The sequence below is a fragment of the Homo sapiens genome, chromosome 2, assembly GCF_000001405.40.
Source record: "Homo sapiens chromosome 2, GRCh38.p14 Primary Assembly".
Classification (NCBI taxonomy): domain Eukaryota; kingdom Metazoa; phylum Chordata; class Mammalia; order Primates; family Hominidae; genus Homo; species Homo sapiens.
In genome coordinates this window covers 98,890,767-98,907,436 of record NC_000002.12, presented here as the reverse complement: position 1 = coordinate 98,907,436, position 16,670 = coordinate 98,890,767, and the positions used below count along the sequence as shown (strand labels likewise).

Below are 16,670 nucleotides of genomic sequence, written 5' to 3'. Positions count from 1 at the left end.
AACTCTTTGAGGCTCGGCAGAGAACAACTACTGGCCAGGACATTGTGGGGAGGATGGTGAGCTAAGCACAACCTGGAAGTCACACAGTCACATTGTGCTGGGAGACTAAGAGTTTTTGTTTTGTTTTGTTTTGTTTTGTTTCCTGAGATGGAGTTTCACTGTTGTCGCCTAGGCTGCAGTGCAATGGCGCGATCTTGGCTCACCGCAACCTCCGCCTCCTGGGTTCAAGCGATTCTCCTGCCTCAGCCTCCTGAGTAGCTGGGATTATAGGTGCCCACCACCATGCCCAGCTAATTTTTGTATTTTTAGTAGGGAAAGGGTTTCACCATGTTGGCCAGGCTGGTCTTGAACTCCTGACCTCAGGTGATCAACCCACCTCGGCCTCCTAAAGTGCTGGGATTACAGTTGTGAGCCACTGCACCTGGCCAAGACTTACAGTTCCAATCTGCTAGAGTGAGGAGACCTTACTGAGCACCTTGAACATTGAATCTGAGATCACAGAAACGTCATACATTAGGAATAAGACTGCTCTAGCCCCAAGACCACGCTAAACTCTCCATAACAAAACCTAAAAACAAGCCTTGTTAGGATCCAGATGCTATGCCAGTCAACTAACTCTCTGCCAGAATAAAACTCAGCACTCTTCAAACAAATTATTATCTGCAATATCCAGCATACAATTAAAAAAATCACTAGACAGGCAGGACAATGAGACTAATAACAAAGAGAAAAGGTCGATAAATACCAACCCATACAAACATAGTGAGTGCACAAATAGGAATTTCAGCAGAGAAGTGGCAATTTAAGAAACAACCAAATGGTAATTCCCAAGCTAGAATATATATTATCTCAAATGAGGAATTCACTGGTTGGATGGCCAGGTGCAATGGCTCACGCCTGTAATCCCAGCACTTTGGGAGGCCGAGGCAGGCGGATCACCTGAGGTCAGGAGTTTGAGACCAGCCTGATCAACATGGCAAAACCCCGTCTGTACTAAAAATACAAAAATTAGCCTGGCGTAGTGGCATGCGCCTGTAGTCCCAGCTACTCAGGAGGCTGAGGCAGGAGAATTGCTTGAATCGGGGAGGTGGAGGTTGCAGTGAGCCAAGATTGCGCCACTGCACTCCAGCCTGATGACAGAGCGAAACTCTGTCTCAAACAAAAAAAAAAAAAAAAGGAAAAGAAAAAATAAAAAGAATTCACTGGATGGATCTAAGAGCAGTTTGGACACTGGCAGAAGAAAATGTCAGTGAGCTTGAAGACAAATCAATAAAAACCATTCAAACTGAGTCACAGAGTGACGAAACACTGAAAAGAAATTAGCAGAGCCTTAGTGACATATGAGAGATAATATCAAATAGCCCAACACGTGCAATTGGAATTTAGGAGATGAGAGGGAGATTGGGGCCAAAAAATATTTGAGGAAATTTCTCCAAATTTGATGAAAAAATATCAGCCTACAGATTCTAGAATTTCAGGGAACCCCTAGCAGGGTAAACTTAAAAAAAAAATCACACCTAGGCCGGGCATGGTGACTCACGCCTGTAATCCCAGCACTTTGGTTGGCCGAAGTGGGAAGATGACCTGAGGTCAGGAGTTCGAGACCAGCCTGGCCAACATGGCGAAACCCTGTCTCTACTAAAATACAAAAATTAGCTAGGCATGGTGGCATGTGCCTGTTATCCCAGCTACTCGGGAGGATGAGGCAGGAGGATCACTTGAATCCAGGAGATGGAGCAGAGATCGTGCCACTGCACTCTAGCCTGGGTGACAGAACGAGACTCTGTCTCAAAAAAAAAAAAAAAAAAATGAGGTAACACCAGTCTTAGACTAAATCTTTTACACAGGAGGGAGTAACGCTTCCCAAATAAGTTTGAGGTCAGTGTGTTAGTCCATTTGTGTTGTTATAAAAGAATACCTGAGACTGGGTAACTTAAAAAGCAAAGAGTTTTAAAAAGTTGTTATAAAAGAATATCTGAGACTTAGTAATTTATAAAGCAAAGAGGTTTATTTGACTCATGGTTCTGCAGACTACAGGGAATGTGGTGCTGGCATCTGCTTCTGGTGAGGGCCTCAGGAAGCTTCCAAGCATGGTGGAAGGCAGAGGGAGTCAGCATGTCGCATGGCAAGAGAGGCAGCAAGAGAGAGGGAGATGAGGGCCCAGCCTCTCTTTTTTTTTTTTTTTTTGAGACAGAGTCTGGCTCTGTCACCCAGGCTGGAGTGCAGTGGTGCAATCTCGGCTCACTGCAAGCTCCGCCTCCCGGGTTCACGCCATTCTCCTGCCTCAGCCTCCCGAGTAGCTGGGACTACAGGCACCCGCCACTATGCCCGGCTAAATTTTTGTATTTTTAGTAGAGACGGGGTTTCACTGTGTTAGCCAGGATGGTCTCGATCTCCTGACCTCGTGATCCACCCGCCTCAGCCTCCCAAAGTGCTGGGATTACAGGCTTGAGCCACCGCGCCCGGCCGGGCCCAGCCTCTCTTAAACAGCCAGATCTAGGATGAACTCATTACAATGGGGAAGACACCAAAGCATTCAGGAGGGATCCGCCCCCGCGACCGGAGTGCTTCCCACCAGGCCCCATCTCCAACATTGGGGGTCGCATTTCAACATGAGATTGGGTAGGGGACAAAATATCCAAACTATATCAGCAGGTATAACCATGATTGTTTTAAAAAGGAAAAGAAATTACAAACCAATATTCTTCATAAACATAGAGACACAATAAAACAAATTGAGCAGTGAGGGGGCCCACATGGTTTTGTTCTTCTTGAATGAAACGAAATAAATTAAAGGTGGCTTTGTTCTTCTTGAATGAAAATTGAATCAATAAACACTCATGGGTCCATTGTCACCTGGAAGGCTGGGCATTCATATGCAGTATCTAATTGGATCCTCAAACTGGATAAGAAAAAATGACGTCTTCATCTGCTCAGATGAAGAAGCAGGCTGAGAACAATCACGTGGGTTTCCCAAGGCCATTCCCATATGTGGTGGCTCATCAGGGACAAGGATCCAGGTCTTCAAACGGCAAGGCCGGTTCCCTGCTGGAGGGCTCCCATGGAGAGACTTCCTGTGCTGAATGAATGATGGGGTGTGTGGCTGGGACAGAGAGTCACATGGCAACTGTGATGCTGTAGTAACTGCAGTGGGGAGCTTCCTGGAGATCTGTTCCTGAGGAAAGGACAATGAGGGTGTACCTAAGTAAGGAAAGGGATTGCAATAGCTCAGTGGAGGGTGCGTGGAAAGTGGGCCCCTCGATCACACTGTTTTGTGTTCAGTGTCTGACCACTCAGTGTTCCTTCTGTTTGTATAACTCTCTAGGGATCATTTTACCCTGTCCTCACAGCATTTGAGGCTGACGGGAACTCCAAGTATCGATGACACCTGGGATGAAAGTGGCTCAGGGCTCTCTTACATGAGGCTGTGTCCCTCTGTTTTGCAGATGTCTTTCTGGGCACCGAGCAGCTAGGGGACATGCCAGAGATCAGACAAAGGAGCGTCACCCAGGCTGAGGGCCGGGAGAGCAGGACTTCTGAATGCAGCAGCATTTCTTAATCACAGGACCACACTCATGTGTATGCACGTGGACGCGTGTGCATGTTGAAGGATGATCCTGGAAAGAATATCTTTTTCTTCATAATTTAGTGATGTATCTGACTTAAAAATGACTACTGAGACTAACTTCAAAAGCAATTAGAGGGGGAAGCTTGTGAGAATATCTAGTGCATTTTCAGAGTTTGAGGTTAATCAGATGCAAATGGTTTCATCATTGGTATATTGGCACATTAGGAAAAAGAATTATTCCTTGATTTAAGTGTTTGCAGTAGTTTAAATCATCTGTCTCCTCCGCATGCCCACTGAGAAGTGGTTTCTTCCGCAAGGTGGAATTATTTAACGGAGTGAGGTGAAGACGATGTCCGCTCTTATGCCTCACTGAGAAACAGTTAGAGGACTCCTTTATTTTTTTCTTAGTGAGATTTTTAGGCATGGGGTGAAACAAAATGGGTTTGAAATCAGGGAATTTTTACAAGCGATGTGTCTTGAAGGTGGGCTTTTGGCAAATTGAAGACAGCGGGTCCCTCAGCCCCCCGATCATGGTCCATGCGCCCCCAGGGATGGAGCAGTGAACGCACTCGGTGTGAGCCTTGCCGTGAGTCTATGCAGCAGTGAGGGAAGCTGAGGCCCAAAGGGAGCTCCTTGTGGCTTCAGGCTGTTTTGATCAAGGTGCTGAATCTGCCAGTTCATGTGAAGCCCCGGGGCTCGGAGAAGTGAGCTCTCCGCAGGCTTCTGCATCATTGAGGTTAGGTCTCCTAAGGAGCAGAGGCTGATCCCATCCCCACAGCAAATGGGCAGGAGCACTCGGGTCATAGGGATGAGGGTCCCCCGCCTGCTGCTGTGCAGTTGGGAGAGTGTGCTAGCGCGGCCCTGGGGGTGCACCCCAAGGGGAAGGGTGTTTTCATCTCAGGATGCGAAGCTTCCTGGAGGGAGTGGTAAAAGCTGGTCGTAGGCTCTAGGACAGTCGGTTCGTTTTCCTAAGTAGAGGTAGTAAATGTGGGGGCATGTTTTCTGGGGCTTCTTTGCCTACCTTGGGAGAGAAGACCTGTGGGCCAGGATGTCTTCTGGATGAAGAGGTGACTTGAGCCTGGAATACTGAGATCGGGGGTGACTCCGGGTCCCAGAGGCCAGGGAGGCTGGGCCGTGGCAAGTTCTGAGAGTTTGCCCGGTGATGAGAGGCCTAGCTAGCACAGGGCCCTCTGTCCTACAGACCCTTCCCTCCAGCTCCAGGGATGGTCAGGCCCCGGCAGTAGCCAGCGATCCCCACCTACGCTCATTTTATACTACTTTGAAGCCAGAAGCCTGGTTTATGAATTGGGAGAGGGGATACATCTACTCCGAAGACCAGAACGCCTGTGCCCACTGCTCAGGAGCCCCTGACACCCCCACACTCAGGCGCCCCACACACTCGGGGAGCCCACTTCATATTGATCAGATCATTTGCTGGCGTGGCTGGAGTCCTCAAGGGAAAGGTCTTGATCCCGTCTCAGCAGAAGGATTATGTTTCCTGGCTGAGAGGCAGGGTCATCACGGGCCTTCTCCGGAGGCCTGACTCGGGGCCCTGCAGGCAGAGCAGGGGTGAAGGCTGCCGGAGACCCCTTCAGCACAGGGCTGGCAGCACTGAGAGAGGCGAGCCCACTTGTGTCCATGACTACACCTGTGCTGCCTCCTTTCATTGATGACATTCTTCCCTTGTGCCGTATGGGCTGCCCTGACCTATAAATCTCATTTGCGAGCTGTTTCCAAGTCACAGTTTAGGATCGGTCAGTGTCAGAGTCACTAGCCCTGGTTGTTCCCTTTGTAGACCTTTGGAACTTTTTACAGTGGAGAATGGCCTTTTCTGACTGTCCTGGCATGGGGGGCTCTTCCATCTATGACGTCCCGCTTTCTCGGTTGGTGTCCAGACTTCATTGCGCCCACCTTTGTTCGCAGCTTCTCTTGTGTTCCTGTCTTACTGCTTCGCCCGGCTCGCGAGTTCTTGGGGAGGGGCTGTGTTTGATCCTGATGTGCAGCCAGCTGGGCGCAGTGTGTTCCCAGCAAGCTGTTGTTAATACTCACCAGCACCAGGTCACTTGTTGTTAATACTCACTGGCATCAGGTCGCTTGATGCACACCCAGGGGGGTTCACTCAATTTTGCTCATTCTGACCCCAGATTCCAGACTCTAACAAAGAGGCCCTATCCCAGAGTATAAATTGGAGACTCTAGACTGTCTCTTTTGTGATTCAGGACTTTGAGAAGACATAGGATTTCTGGAGAACTGCAGGCCCTGTGGTCTGATGTGATTTTTGTGTGAGATCCCGTCACACATCCAGGATAAGGTGCCCTGTGGGCTGTGCTGTCCACCTGCGGCCCCCAGTTTGCTTGTTGGTTAGGGCCTCAGGCCACGTGGGCTGGCCACCCAGGTCATCTGCTCTGCCCTTCAGGGCTCTGAGCTCTGGATGGGGGGAGCCCTGGGACTGAGGTTTGTGCCATGCCCTGTGATCTGTATATAGAAGATCAGGGTTCTCCCAAGCACTGTGTTGGGCAGATCTTGGTGGGAACTAAAACCAGAGGTCCTATTGTGTCATGCTGGCAACTTTCCCACTGTGGCAGAGGCTCAGTGGCCCATCATGGTCAAAATGGTCACCATTTATTGAGCCCTTTCTATGGCCAGGCTCTGTGCCAACACATCGGCATTTAACTCTCAACAACCCTGCAAAGAGGGATGAGCCCATTTCACAGATGAGAGGGGTTGCAGAACCTGTCCAAGGTCACGGTACTCTAAGTAGTGGAGCCAAGGGAAAAACTCAGGGCTGGCAGAGCCACGTGCTTTTACATGCTTGACCCTGTGCGCCAACCCCATTGCTTGCAGAATCGCTTTCTGTCCTAAGTGAGGGGAAGGGCTCAGCGCTCCTTCCTCTGGAGCTTGACTTCCTTCACCTGCCTCCTGGCACCATTATAGAAGGTGGAGCCGGGTGACCTTCTCCTTCACTGGTGAGGCACCCTCCCGCAGCCACACTGGAGTCTCTGTTTCCTGTGACTGATCTGCTCTGCCCAACGAGGCTGTGGAGTGGAGTGGCCAGATTTCTCCCTGGCTGGGCTTGGGCCCTTGCGTCATTTTCAGGGTGCCAAGTCAGGATGGAAGGAGGGTGCTGAGTGTTCTTGAGAGGCCTGCCTTTCTCCATCTCTTGGGACCAAGGAGCTGACAAACAGTACTTTACTAAACAGCACCGCCACCCTCCACACACACGCATGCACACACACCTGCACGCACGCATGCACACGCCCACACACATGCACAAACGTGTGCACACAGAGGGGACAGGCCCTACTCCCACCCCTGTTCTTTTTCTCACCTAGTCCCCCAGACTCCTTTGAAAAGCCAGAGGAGGAGGGTATTGGAGGTGTGGTTGCTGGGTGGGTTTTGTGGCCTGCCTCTGCCACAGGGGTACCAGGGCACTCCTCCCACTGAGCCTCCATCCTCCTGCCTCCCCTCCCACTGAGCCTCCATCCCCCTGCCTCCCCTCCCACTGAGCCTCCATCCTCTGCCTCCCCTCCTACTGAGCCTTTGTCCCCCTGCCTCCCCTCCTACTGAGCCTCTGTCCCCTACCTCCCCTCCCACTGAGCCTCTGTCCCCTGCCTTCCCTCCTACTGAGCCTCTGTCCCCTGCCTCCCCTCCCACTGAGCCTCTGTCCCCCTGCCTCCCCTCCTACTGAGCCTCTGTCCATCTGCCTCCCCTTCCCACTGAGCCTCTGTCCCCCTGCCTCCCCTCCTGCTGAGCCTCTGTCCATCTGCCTCCCCTCCTGCTGAGCCTCTGTCCATCTGCCTCCCCTCCTACTGAGCCTCTGTCCATCTGCCTCCCCTCCTGCTGAGCCTCTGTCCTCCTGCCTCCCCTCCTGCTGAGCCTCTGTCCATCTGTGTCCCCTCCTACTGAGCCTCTGTCCATCTGCCTCCCCTCCTACTGAGCCTCTGTCCATCTGCCTCCCCTCCTGCTGAGCCTCTGTCCATCTGCCTCCCCTCCCACTGAGCCTCCATTCCCTGCCTCCCCTCCTGCTGAGCCTCTGTCCATCTGCCTCCCCTCCCACTGAGCCTCCATTCCCTGCCTCCCCTCCTGCTGAGCCTCTGTCCACCTGCTTCCCCACTGAGCTAAGACTTCTCAGACATACTTCTTAACAGCGCCAGCCTCGGGCCTCCAGCATCAGGCCACCCTGGCCTTTCAGCCCTTTTCTCTCATTTCCTCCATAGATGCCTTTTTTTTTCACTCCAGTCTCACTGGGCCCCTCTGACTGCTGAGCACATCTTGCTCTTTGCCACCAGTGCCCCCTGCTAGGGCACTCCCCTTGCCTGTGGGGCCACCCCTGGCCATTCCCTCACTGTCCTTCAGGCTCAACTGCAGTCCCAGGTGTTCCACACACATGGGATCACAGCGTCTGGGCTGTCCACTTGGCACCTGCTCCTGCACTGCCGTAAGAACATTCTTCTCTTTCTGGTGGAGACTCCTTCAACTGTCTATGTCTGCTCTCCCTCTGACTACAAGGTCCTATGAGGACTCTTGTGTATCTTTGTCACTTGGGTGCTTATTACATACTTGTACATTTTTAAAAGGCTTAACGTCTGAGGTTAAGAGCTCTTGTGTCACCCCTTTGTGTGGCCCAGCGGCCCGCAGGCTGGCAGAGGAGTGGCTGCAGGGAATTGCTTCACTGGAGTCTGGGGAATGGTCTGGTTTGCATGGTGGCAGGTGAATTTCATGTTCCTGCCACCACCCTGCCTTGGTGGGGTGGGAGGGGCACATCCCAGACATGTCAGCTTGTTTATATTCAGGTCCCTGTTTGGTTTGACAAAGCAGAGGGTGTGTTGCTGGCGTCTTGACTTTAGGGAGGCCTGGTAGCCATGAACTATCACTGGGGATTTTTCAGTTACAACAAAAAGAGGCTGTGAATTGTGACCCCTGTCTGGATTTCAGCCTGTCTTCCCCCTTTTGGGAGACGATTACCTTCTGGCAGAAATAAGTGCATTCATCTTCTATTTAAGAAAAAAAATATTATCTTCTTTGAAATAGGCTCTTGCTATTCTAGGCATGAGAACAGGTCAGCCTTTATGCTGCTTAAACACAGCGGCGGCGGCTCTGTTGCACTCATCCTTGAGGCACATAGGGATGGGACACGTGGCCTCCCTTCCTCATCCGCACAACGGCTCAGTTTTTCTCCATGTTGTCAGAAAGACGCTCAGGGCATCGTGGGCCCTGCTGAGCTCTAGACAATGTGGGAGCCACAGGCAGATGCTGTGGGTCTGGGCAGACGAGGGCAGGCCAAGGAGGTCAGACTCAGCTCCCGCAAGCCCATCTGACTCTGGTGCATGTGCCCTGGCCCCGAGCATGCTCACTGTGACCAGGTAATGTGACTGGAGGTGTGCCCTACCTGACTGTGATGCGAAGAGCTGGCTGGTCACCCTGGCCCTCCGTTTTTTGAACTTCTGCGACATTTCTCTTCTAGGCCTCACATTTGTCACTTGTCACATGACACCATGCTTTGATGCTTTTACTGTGGGCATGTCTTCTCTCCCCACGCTCTTAGCGAGGTGACCTCTCTGAGGCCCCCACATTGCATACCAAGCTGGCTTGCCCATGGCTCTTCACTTGAGTATTGATCATTGCTGTTTTTTCTCTTTTATGTGTGAAATACTGTCTGAGAGTTAAGCCTCACATTCACATTCCAGTCAAGGGACCAACAGAGGATTTTCCTTCAGCGGATTTCATCATCTTTGTATCTTGACCTTTAGAGTTGCTAGAGCCTAATATAACTAACTCTTGATTCTTTATTATGAATTCACCATTTTGGATTATATGTGACAACCTGTAAATCCCTTAGCAGCTTCCCCAGCTGCATTGAGGCTCCTTGACCCACCCACTGGTGGCGAAAGCTTGGGGAGCATCAGGATTTTAATGGAACCTAAGCAAGGTGCAGAGAGGGCAGTAATAAGCCAGCCGCTGAACCTCACAGTGGGCTCCGCAACTGGGATCTCCTGGGACTGTCCGCCTGGAGGGCAGGAGCTGCACCCCCTGTCTCTGTTTTTAGTACTGTGCTGTGCACAGGCAGGCATCCAGTAAATGTTTGCTGGGTACATTGTCAAACAAGGATATTATCCAGAGTTGCCTTCTAGCTCAAAAGTCTGTGAACAGCTGAACCCATGATTATATGCACCTCTAGTCCCCTCTTATTTTTGTGGGAATGGTAAGGAAAAACTATAACTTGAGTCTTAACTATATCTCCCAAGTTAGGTTTGTAAATAATGAAAATAAAGGTTAATTTTTCTCCTTTCATTGGATTACATGGAACCTCCCTACTTTAGGAATCTAAAGTGACCAGAAAAAGTTATGAAACCTTCAAGGTTTTGGTGTTTTGCTCATCTGTTTCAGCAGAAGTCACTGATTTTCTGCATACTCCATGTAATGAATCTGGTATGCTGAGATAAGGACACCTGTGACTGAGATGATTTCTTTGGCGTCCGTGCAAGATAAAAGGTAGGTGCTAAGAGGAGCAAGGCAAATATATATTTAGCGATGCTGTCAGTGCCTTCACGTTTAATACCAGAAGGGTAAAAGGAACAAACCACCGGTACATGCAACAGCTTGGATGAAGCTCAAAAGCATCACACTTTGTGAAAGAAGCCAGTCTCAAAATGTTACATACTGTACGATTCCATTTTTGTGACATTCTCAAAGAGACAGAACGATCGTGACGGAGAACAAATCAGTGGTTGCCAGGGGGAAGAGTGTGTGGCTATAAAGGAGCAGCATGGGGGAGGATTTTAGGGGTGGGGTGGTGATGGGACAATTCTGCATCCTGACTGTGCTGGTGGCTACATGACTCTACATGTGTGTCAAAACCCATGGGCTTGTATGTCAAACCCAAGGCCGATTTATGGTGCTATCCTTTAGAAATAACGCAAAATATTTCCAGAAGGGTGAGCAATGCCTGCCAGGGGTGTCCAAGGGAGAGAGAGTACAGTCATGGGTTCTTAGTTTCTATTTCTGGCTGGTCTAGTAAAGCCCCTTCCTCATCCCTCTTTTCCACTTATCGCTAGAGACAGAAACTAAAAACCATGGCTTCAGGCTGCTAAAAGCCTAAAAGAAAACAAAACAGAACAACAACAACAAAGTAAGATAGGTTGGACAAGCTTGGTAGTCACTGACAACAGGCTCAGACCCCAGCCCTCCCTCCAGACGCAGGGTGTTGGTTCTGTGCTGAGGTTTAAACACATCCCCAGCCTAGGGCTCACTTCCATGTTGTGAGTGTCAATCATTCTGCCGACAGCAGCTGTCAGGACTCCCTGAAGGTCACAGTCTGGTTTCCTCTGCTGCATAAAAGATTGTGGAGTTTGCAGCTCTGCCCCAGACTTGCCCCTTAAGGTGAATGTAGGGCACAGGTTTGGGTGGATTTTTTTTGGGCCACTCTCAGGATTTATTTCCTTTTGAGACTATTTATATGAATATGTTTGTTTATATGAAATTGATGAATTTAGAAGAGTTATTCCTGTTCAGCTCTTGATTTATTCCTCTGAAATATTTTCTTGTCTGAAGTCATGCATGTGTCCAAAACTCTCCCCAGCACAGCTGTGTCTTGTCTCAGCGAGGGACTCCACCATCCACTCTCATGCCCGCATGTGAAACCTGGGTGCATGCTTGCCGTGTCTTCTCCTCACTTCCTGGCCTTGCTTCAGGCACCGTGTCCTGTGTGTTCTGTCCTCAAATTGGCCTACTCCTCCTGTCCCATGCCACCAGCCAGCCCTCCTGCCACAGCCCCCCACTCCCGGTTCTGCCCTGTCTTAGTCCATTTGAGTTGGTGTAACAAACTTCTGGAGATTGTTTGCTCACAGTCCTGGAGGCCGGAAGTCCTAGATCAAGGCGCCAGCAGATTCAGTATCTGGTGAGAATCCACTTTCTGGTTCGTAGGTAGCACCTTCCTGCTGTGTCCTCTCATGGTGGAAGGGGCAAGCGAGCTCTCTGGGTTCTCTTTTATCTTATTCATGAAGGCCCCAGCCCCATGACCTAATCACCTCTCAGAGCCTCCACCACCTAAAGCCATCAGCTTGGGGTTAAGATTTCAACACACGAATTTTGAGGGGACATGAACATTCAGACCATAGCAACCCTGTAACCAAGGGGATGGATCTTCCTCACAGTTGAATTTGATCATGAGATCCTCTGACTAAAATCTTGCCGTGCTTTAATTACCTTTAGAATAGAATCCAAACACCTTAGCATGGTGTAATGTTCTGGAATCATCTAGCCCCCTCTACTTAGTTCCCTTCCCCACCCTAATCCAGCTCTCAAAACTTCAGTGATACTGAATTTCTTCCAGGGCCTTGAGCAGGTTATGTTCCCCCCTGCCTCCGGGCCTCTACATCTGCCATTCCCTGGACCTGGAATCTCGTCTTCCCTGTTCTTTCCCTCCTTCCCACGCACCGTATTTGTCTGGTATGTTTTCCGTTCACCTGTCCAACTTCAGCCTAGTTCTGTCTTCCAAGCTGAGCGTCCGTCCTTCCTGCCCTCAAAACCACCAATCCTTCTATCCCAGCACCTGCCCAACTGTGTGTGTCATAATTCTAGATCTAGGCTATAAGATCTTTGCCATCAAGGCCCTCCCTCTGTTGTCACTGTTGTATCCTAGGCACCTAGCATGGTGCTTGTAGCTAGAAGCTGCTGAGGACAAATTTTCTGATGAATGGACAGAGGCATCTATGAGATCCCAGAGCCAGCCACCAACAGGAATATTTTTGTTTTTTTTTAAGACAGGGTCTCCTCTGTTGCCCAGGCTGGAGCGTAGTGGTATGATCATGGACCGCTGAAGCCTCAATCTCCCAGGCTCAAGTGATCCTCCAACCTCAGCCTCCTGAGTAGCTAGACCACAGGTGCATGTCACCACACCTGGCTAAATTTTTAATTTTTTGTGTTTGTAAAGTTGAGCTCTTGCTATGTTGCCAAGGCTGGTCCTGAACTCCTGAGCTCAGGTAATCCTCCCACCTCTGCCTCCCAAAGTGCTGAGATTACAGACATGAGCCACCATGCACAGCCACCAACAGGAATGTAATCAGTGACATCTAGGTGCAGGTCACTGTCTTCGGATTTGCTTACATTCTGCTTAGGGAGATCATAACTGTTGACATACTTGAAAATAAGTGTGTTAAACCACGGGACATGATCTCCAGATGCCATCCAGGGAGAGGACAGAGGCTGAGGAGTTGAGGCTGTTGGAGAAGGTTCTCAGAGCTTCTTTCCCCACACCGTTTCTTGCCTGTTTTCTCATTGCGTATATATAAATATATTGGCCTCACTTCTCTCACTACACAGATTGCCACCCACTCACCAGTGCTGGGCCAGGAGGGCCCGCCCCGCACCCCTCTGTGCGTGACTTTAGGTAACTCCGGGGATTTTCCATCGTACATTGGGAAATCACATCTCCGGCTATTTTATATGGCCACTCTGCCCAGCCTCTCAGGTTCATGCTGCTTTTATGTGGTGTGGTTGTGTTGTTGCTTCTGTGTGCTAATTCACATTGACGCTCTTCCTCATGTGGCCTCTCCTGAGCCATCTCTCTCCTTCAGGGTGACTTCGCAGCCAAATCATTTATGGAGATGTGATGGGAGGGGGTGTTCTCACCCTCTTCCCACTCTGCTTTCCCTCCCCCTATACCTAAAATATCGCTTTCCGCTTGGAAAGAAGTGTCTTGAATCAGAGCTTAAGCAGAAGCATTGCTGATTCGAACTATATAGCCAGCGCCACTGGCGGAGGAAGAGGAAGTGGTGTGTAGGGGAGGTGAGTGCAGGCACGGAGTAGCTGAGTGTGCTCTGGGCCCTGTTGAGAGGAGCAAGCCCATTGCTTCTTGACCCTGGCTGCCCCTCGGAATCTCCTGGGGAGCTTGAACACAGCCTGATGCCCACGCCCATGCCCAGTGAATTCAGTCAGCGCCTCTGGGGGTGGCACCCAGGGTCTCCACTGTGTGGTGCACGGGCGTTCGTGTGGATGCGATCATAAGTATTTGCTGATTCTTATGCCCTGACTGGGCTACCCCTGACGGCATGGATTTCCTCAGTAAAAGACAACCTGTTCAAAATGAGGGGGACAGAAATAGACGTGGGAGACTTCCTTCTTTTTAACTATCGCTTAATTACATGATGTAATTGGGGGAAAATACACTACAGAAGCAATAGAAGTAAAAAGATATAATCCCTTCCCCAGAGATAAAGCCATTGTGTATCCTTCCAGATCTTTTTGATATGTTTACACAGCAGGATATGAAAATAGGGCTCCTTCAGGCGGGGTGCAGTGGCTAATGCCTGTAATTCCAGCACTTTGGGAGGCCGAGGAGGGCAGATCACGAGGTCAGGAGATCGAGACCATCCTGGCTAACATGTTGAAACCCCGTCTCTACTAAAAAATACAAAAAATTAGCCAGGTGTGGTGATGGACACCTGTAATCCCAGCTACTTGGGAGGCTGAGGCAGGAGAATGGCGTGAACCCAGGAGACGGAGCTTGTAGTGAACTGAGATCGCATCACTGCACTCCAGCCTGGGCAACAGAGCGAGACTCGTCTAAAAAAAAAAATAGGGTTCCTTCTCTTGACTGAGGACAGTTTGGTAGCATCAGACAGCTCCTTGTCCCATGATGTGGTGAAGGCAGACTGGATCTAGTGACCTCCAGCCTGCTACAGAGGTGCACTTTCAGGTGGAGAGGATTACCTTGGAGAATGGTGCAAGGAGCCCATTTCCCTCCCTGTGCCCCGCTCCCTGCTGCTGTGCCTGGAGGCTGAGGGCACCTGGGAAGGGCCTTTCTGGGCCGAAGATGCTCCTGCAAGGGGTGATGTCAGGGTATAGGCTCCCCACACGGGAGCCGGCCAGGGATTTGTGAGCTGGCGGTGGAGAGGCCAGGCCCAGGTATCAGAGAAACCAAAAAAATCTGTGGCTGAGGTCCCTCGGAGAGGCAGAGCAGGGCCACAGAGTGAGTTTAGTAAGAGTGTGAGGAAGGGTGCAGTGGGTTTCTGCTTTCACCGTAAGGAGTCCAGCTGGGTCTATCACTGGCTACATTTACATATATATAATATGCATATTAGGGTTTAGGGTTTTTTTCCAAAAATAAAATCATACTGTATATATGCATGTTTTCCTCAGATCATTTTTAAAAAAATTTTATTTTATTTCTTTTTTTTTTGAGACTGAGCCTCACTCTTTCGCCCAGGCTGGAGTGCAGTGGTGTGATCTTGGCTCACTGCAACCTCTGCCTTCTGGGTTAAAGCGATTCTCCTGCCTCAGCCTCCGGAGTAGCTAGGACTACAGGTGCCTGCCGCCACACCCGGCTAATTTTTGTATTTTTAGTAGAGATGGGGTTTCACTATGTTGACTGTCTGGACTCGAACTCTTTACCTCAAGTGATCCGCCCACCTCAGTCTCCTAAAGTGCTGGGATTACAGGTGTGAGCCACTACGCCTGGCCTGCTCAGATCTTTTTTTTTTAATTTACAATATATTTTATAGATACTTCTATGTCCATAAATAGATCTACCTCATTTCTTTTAGCTACCCTTTAGTAGCTAATCATTCTCTTACCAAGGAATATTTATGATATGTATAATTTTTTAATACAAACCTGACTGCTGGGAATATATTTATTCATTTATCTACATTTGCCTCTGTGAATATTTCTGTAGAATAGATTCCCAGAGGTGGAATTGCCTGGTCAAAGGATGAGTACTTTTAAGATTTTGATAGAAATTGCCAAATGGCTGTCCAAGAAAGGTATATGATTTTTTTACTCCTACAAGCAGTATGTTGGCATGCCTATTTCTCATACTCTGCCAATTGAGTAGTGTCTACCTTCTTAAATTTCCAGGAGTCTGATTGTTACATTTAGTTTTCAGTAGGATTGCCCATTTTGAATTTGCTATCATGTGAATTGTTTTTACATGTCCTTTGCCTACTTTTCAATTGAATTTTTACCATTTTTCATACTGCTTTATAGGACCTCTTTATAAATCAAGGATGGATACAGTCACGCAGACACCCTTTATTGTATATGTTATATATACTTCCTCCTAGTCTGACTCATGCCTTCCAACTTTATTGAAAGCTTTCACAATGTGGAAAAGGTTTGAAATAAATAAAATAGAAAGTCACATACTTTTAGGACAAAAAATGTAAAGGGCTTATGATTTGTATACAGCCTTCCAAATTATGTTCAACTTGACCAAATAAGAAAGAAAAAAAATATCCAGGATTTACATTGTTATAACTGTCTTAGATTGCTATTGTTTCACTTCCTCCTCTCTACTTTTAAAATAATTGACATATAATTAGCATATCCCCAAACAAGGTTGTGAACCATCAATACTATCTAATTCCAGAACACTTTCATTACCCGAAAAAGAAACCATGTACCCATTACAGGTTGACCATCCCAAATCCAAAATTCTGAAACCCAAAAAGCTCCAAAGTTTGGATTTTTTTTTTTTTTTTTTTTTTTTTTTTTGAGACGGAGTCTCCCTCTGTCACCCAAGCTGGAGTGCAGTAGCGTGATCTTGGCTCACTGCAGCCTCTGCCTCCGACATTCAAGTGATTCTCCTGCCTCAGCCTCCTGAGTAGCTGGAATTACAGGTGACCACCACCATGCCTGGCTAATTTTTTTATTTTTAGTAGAGACGGTTTCATCATGTTGGCCAGGCTGGTATTGAACTACTGACCTCAAGTGATCCGCCCACCTTGGCCTTCCAAAGTGCTGGGATTACAGATGTGAGCCACTGCGTCCAGCCCAAAGTTTGGAATCTTTTATTTATTTATTTATTTATTTATTTTTGAGATGGAGTCTTGCTCTTGTCACCCAGGCTGGAATGACACAATCTTGGCTCGCTGCAACCTCCATCTCCTGGGTTCAAGCAATTCTCTTGCCTCAGCCTCCCAAGTAGCTGGGATTACAGGTGCCCACCACCATGCCCAGCTAGTTTTTGTATTTTTGGTAGAGACGGGGTTTCACCGTGTTGACGAGGCTGGTCTCGAACTACTGACCTCAGGTGGTCCACCCACCTCGGCCTCCCAATGTGCTGGGATTACATGTGTGAGCCACCACGCCCAGCCCCCAAAGT

General features: G+C 49.1%; 1 protein-coding gene across 6 annotated transcripts in view; it reads left to right on the top strand.

Annotated features, from left to right (window-relative positions):
• Window positions 1-16,670, top strand: part of CRACDL (CRACD like) — a 142,380-nt gene that overhangs the window by 28,789 nt on the left and 96,921 nt on the right. The window contains exon 2 of one of the 6 annotated variants that reach the window (XM_017003972.2): window positions 9,956-10,060. The exons of 3 other annotated variants lie outside the window; for them this stretch is intronic. In XM_017003972.2, the coding sequence (XP_016859461.1) occupies window positions 10,029-10,060 (32 nt within the window). In that variant the 5' untranslated portion in view covers window positions 9,956-10,028. Of the gene's footprint in view, window positions 1-9,792; window positions 10,061-16,670 lie in introns of those variants that run through there. 2 more of the 6 variants (XM_011511093.2, XM_017003971.2) reach the window with 2 other exon arrangements.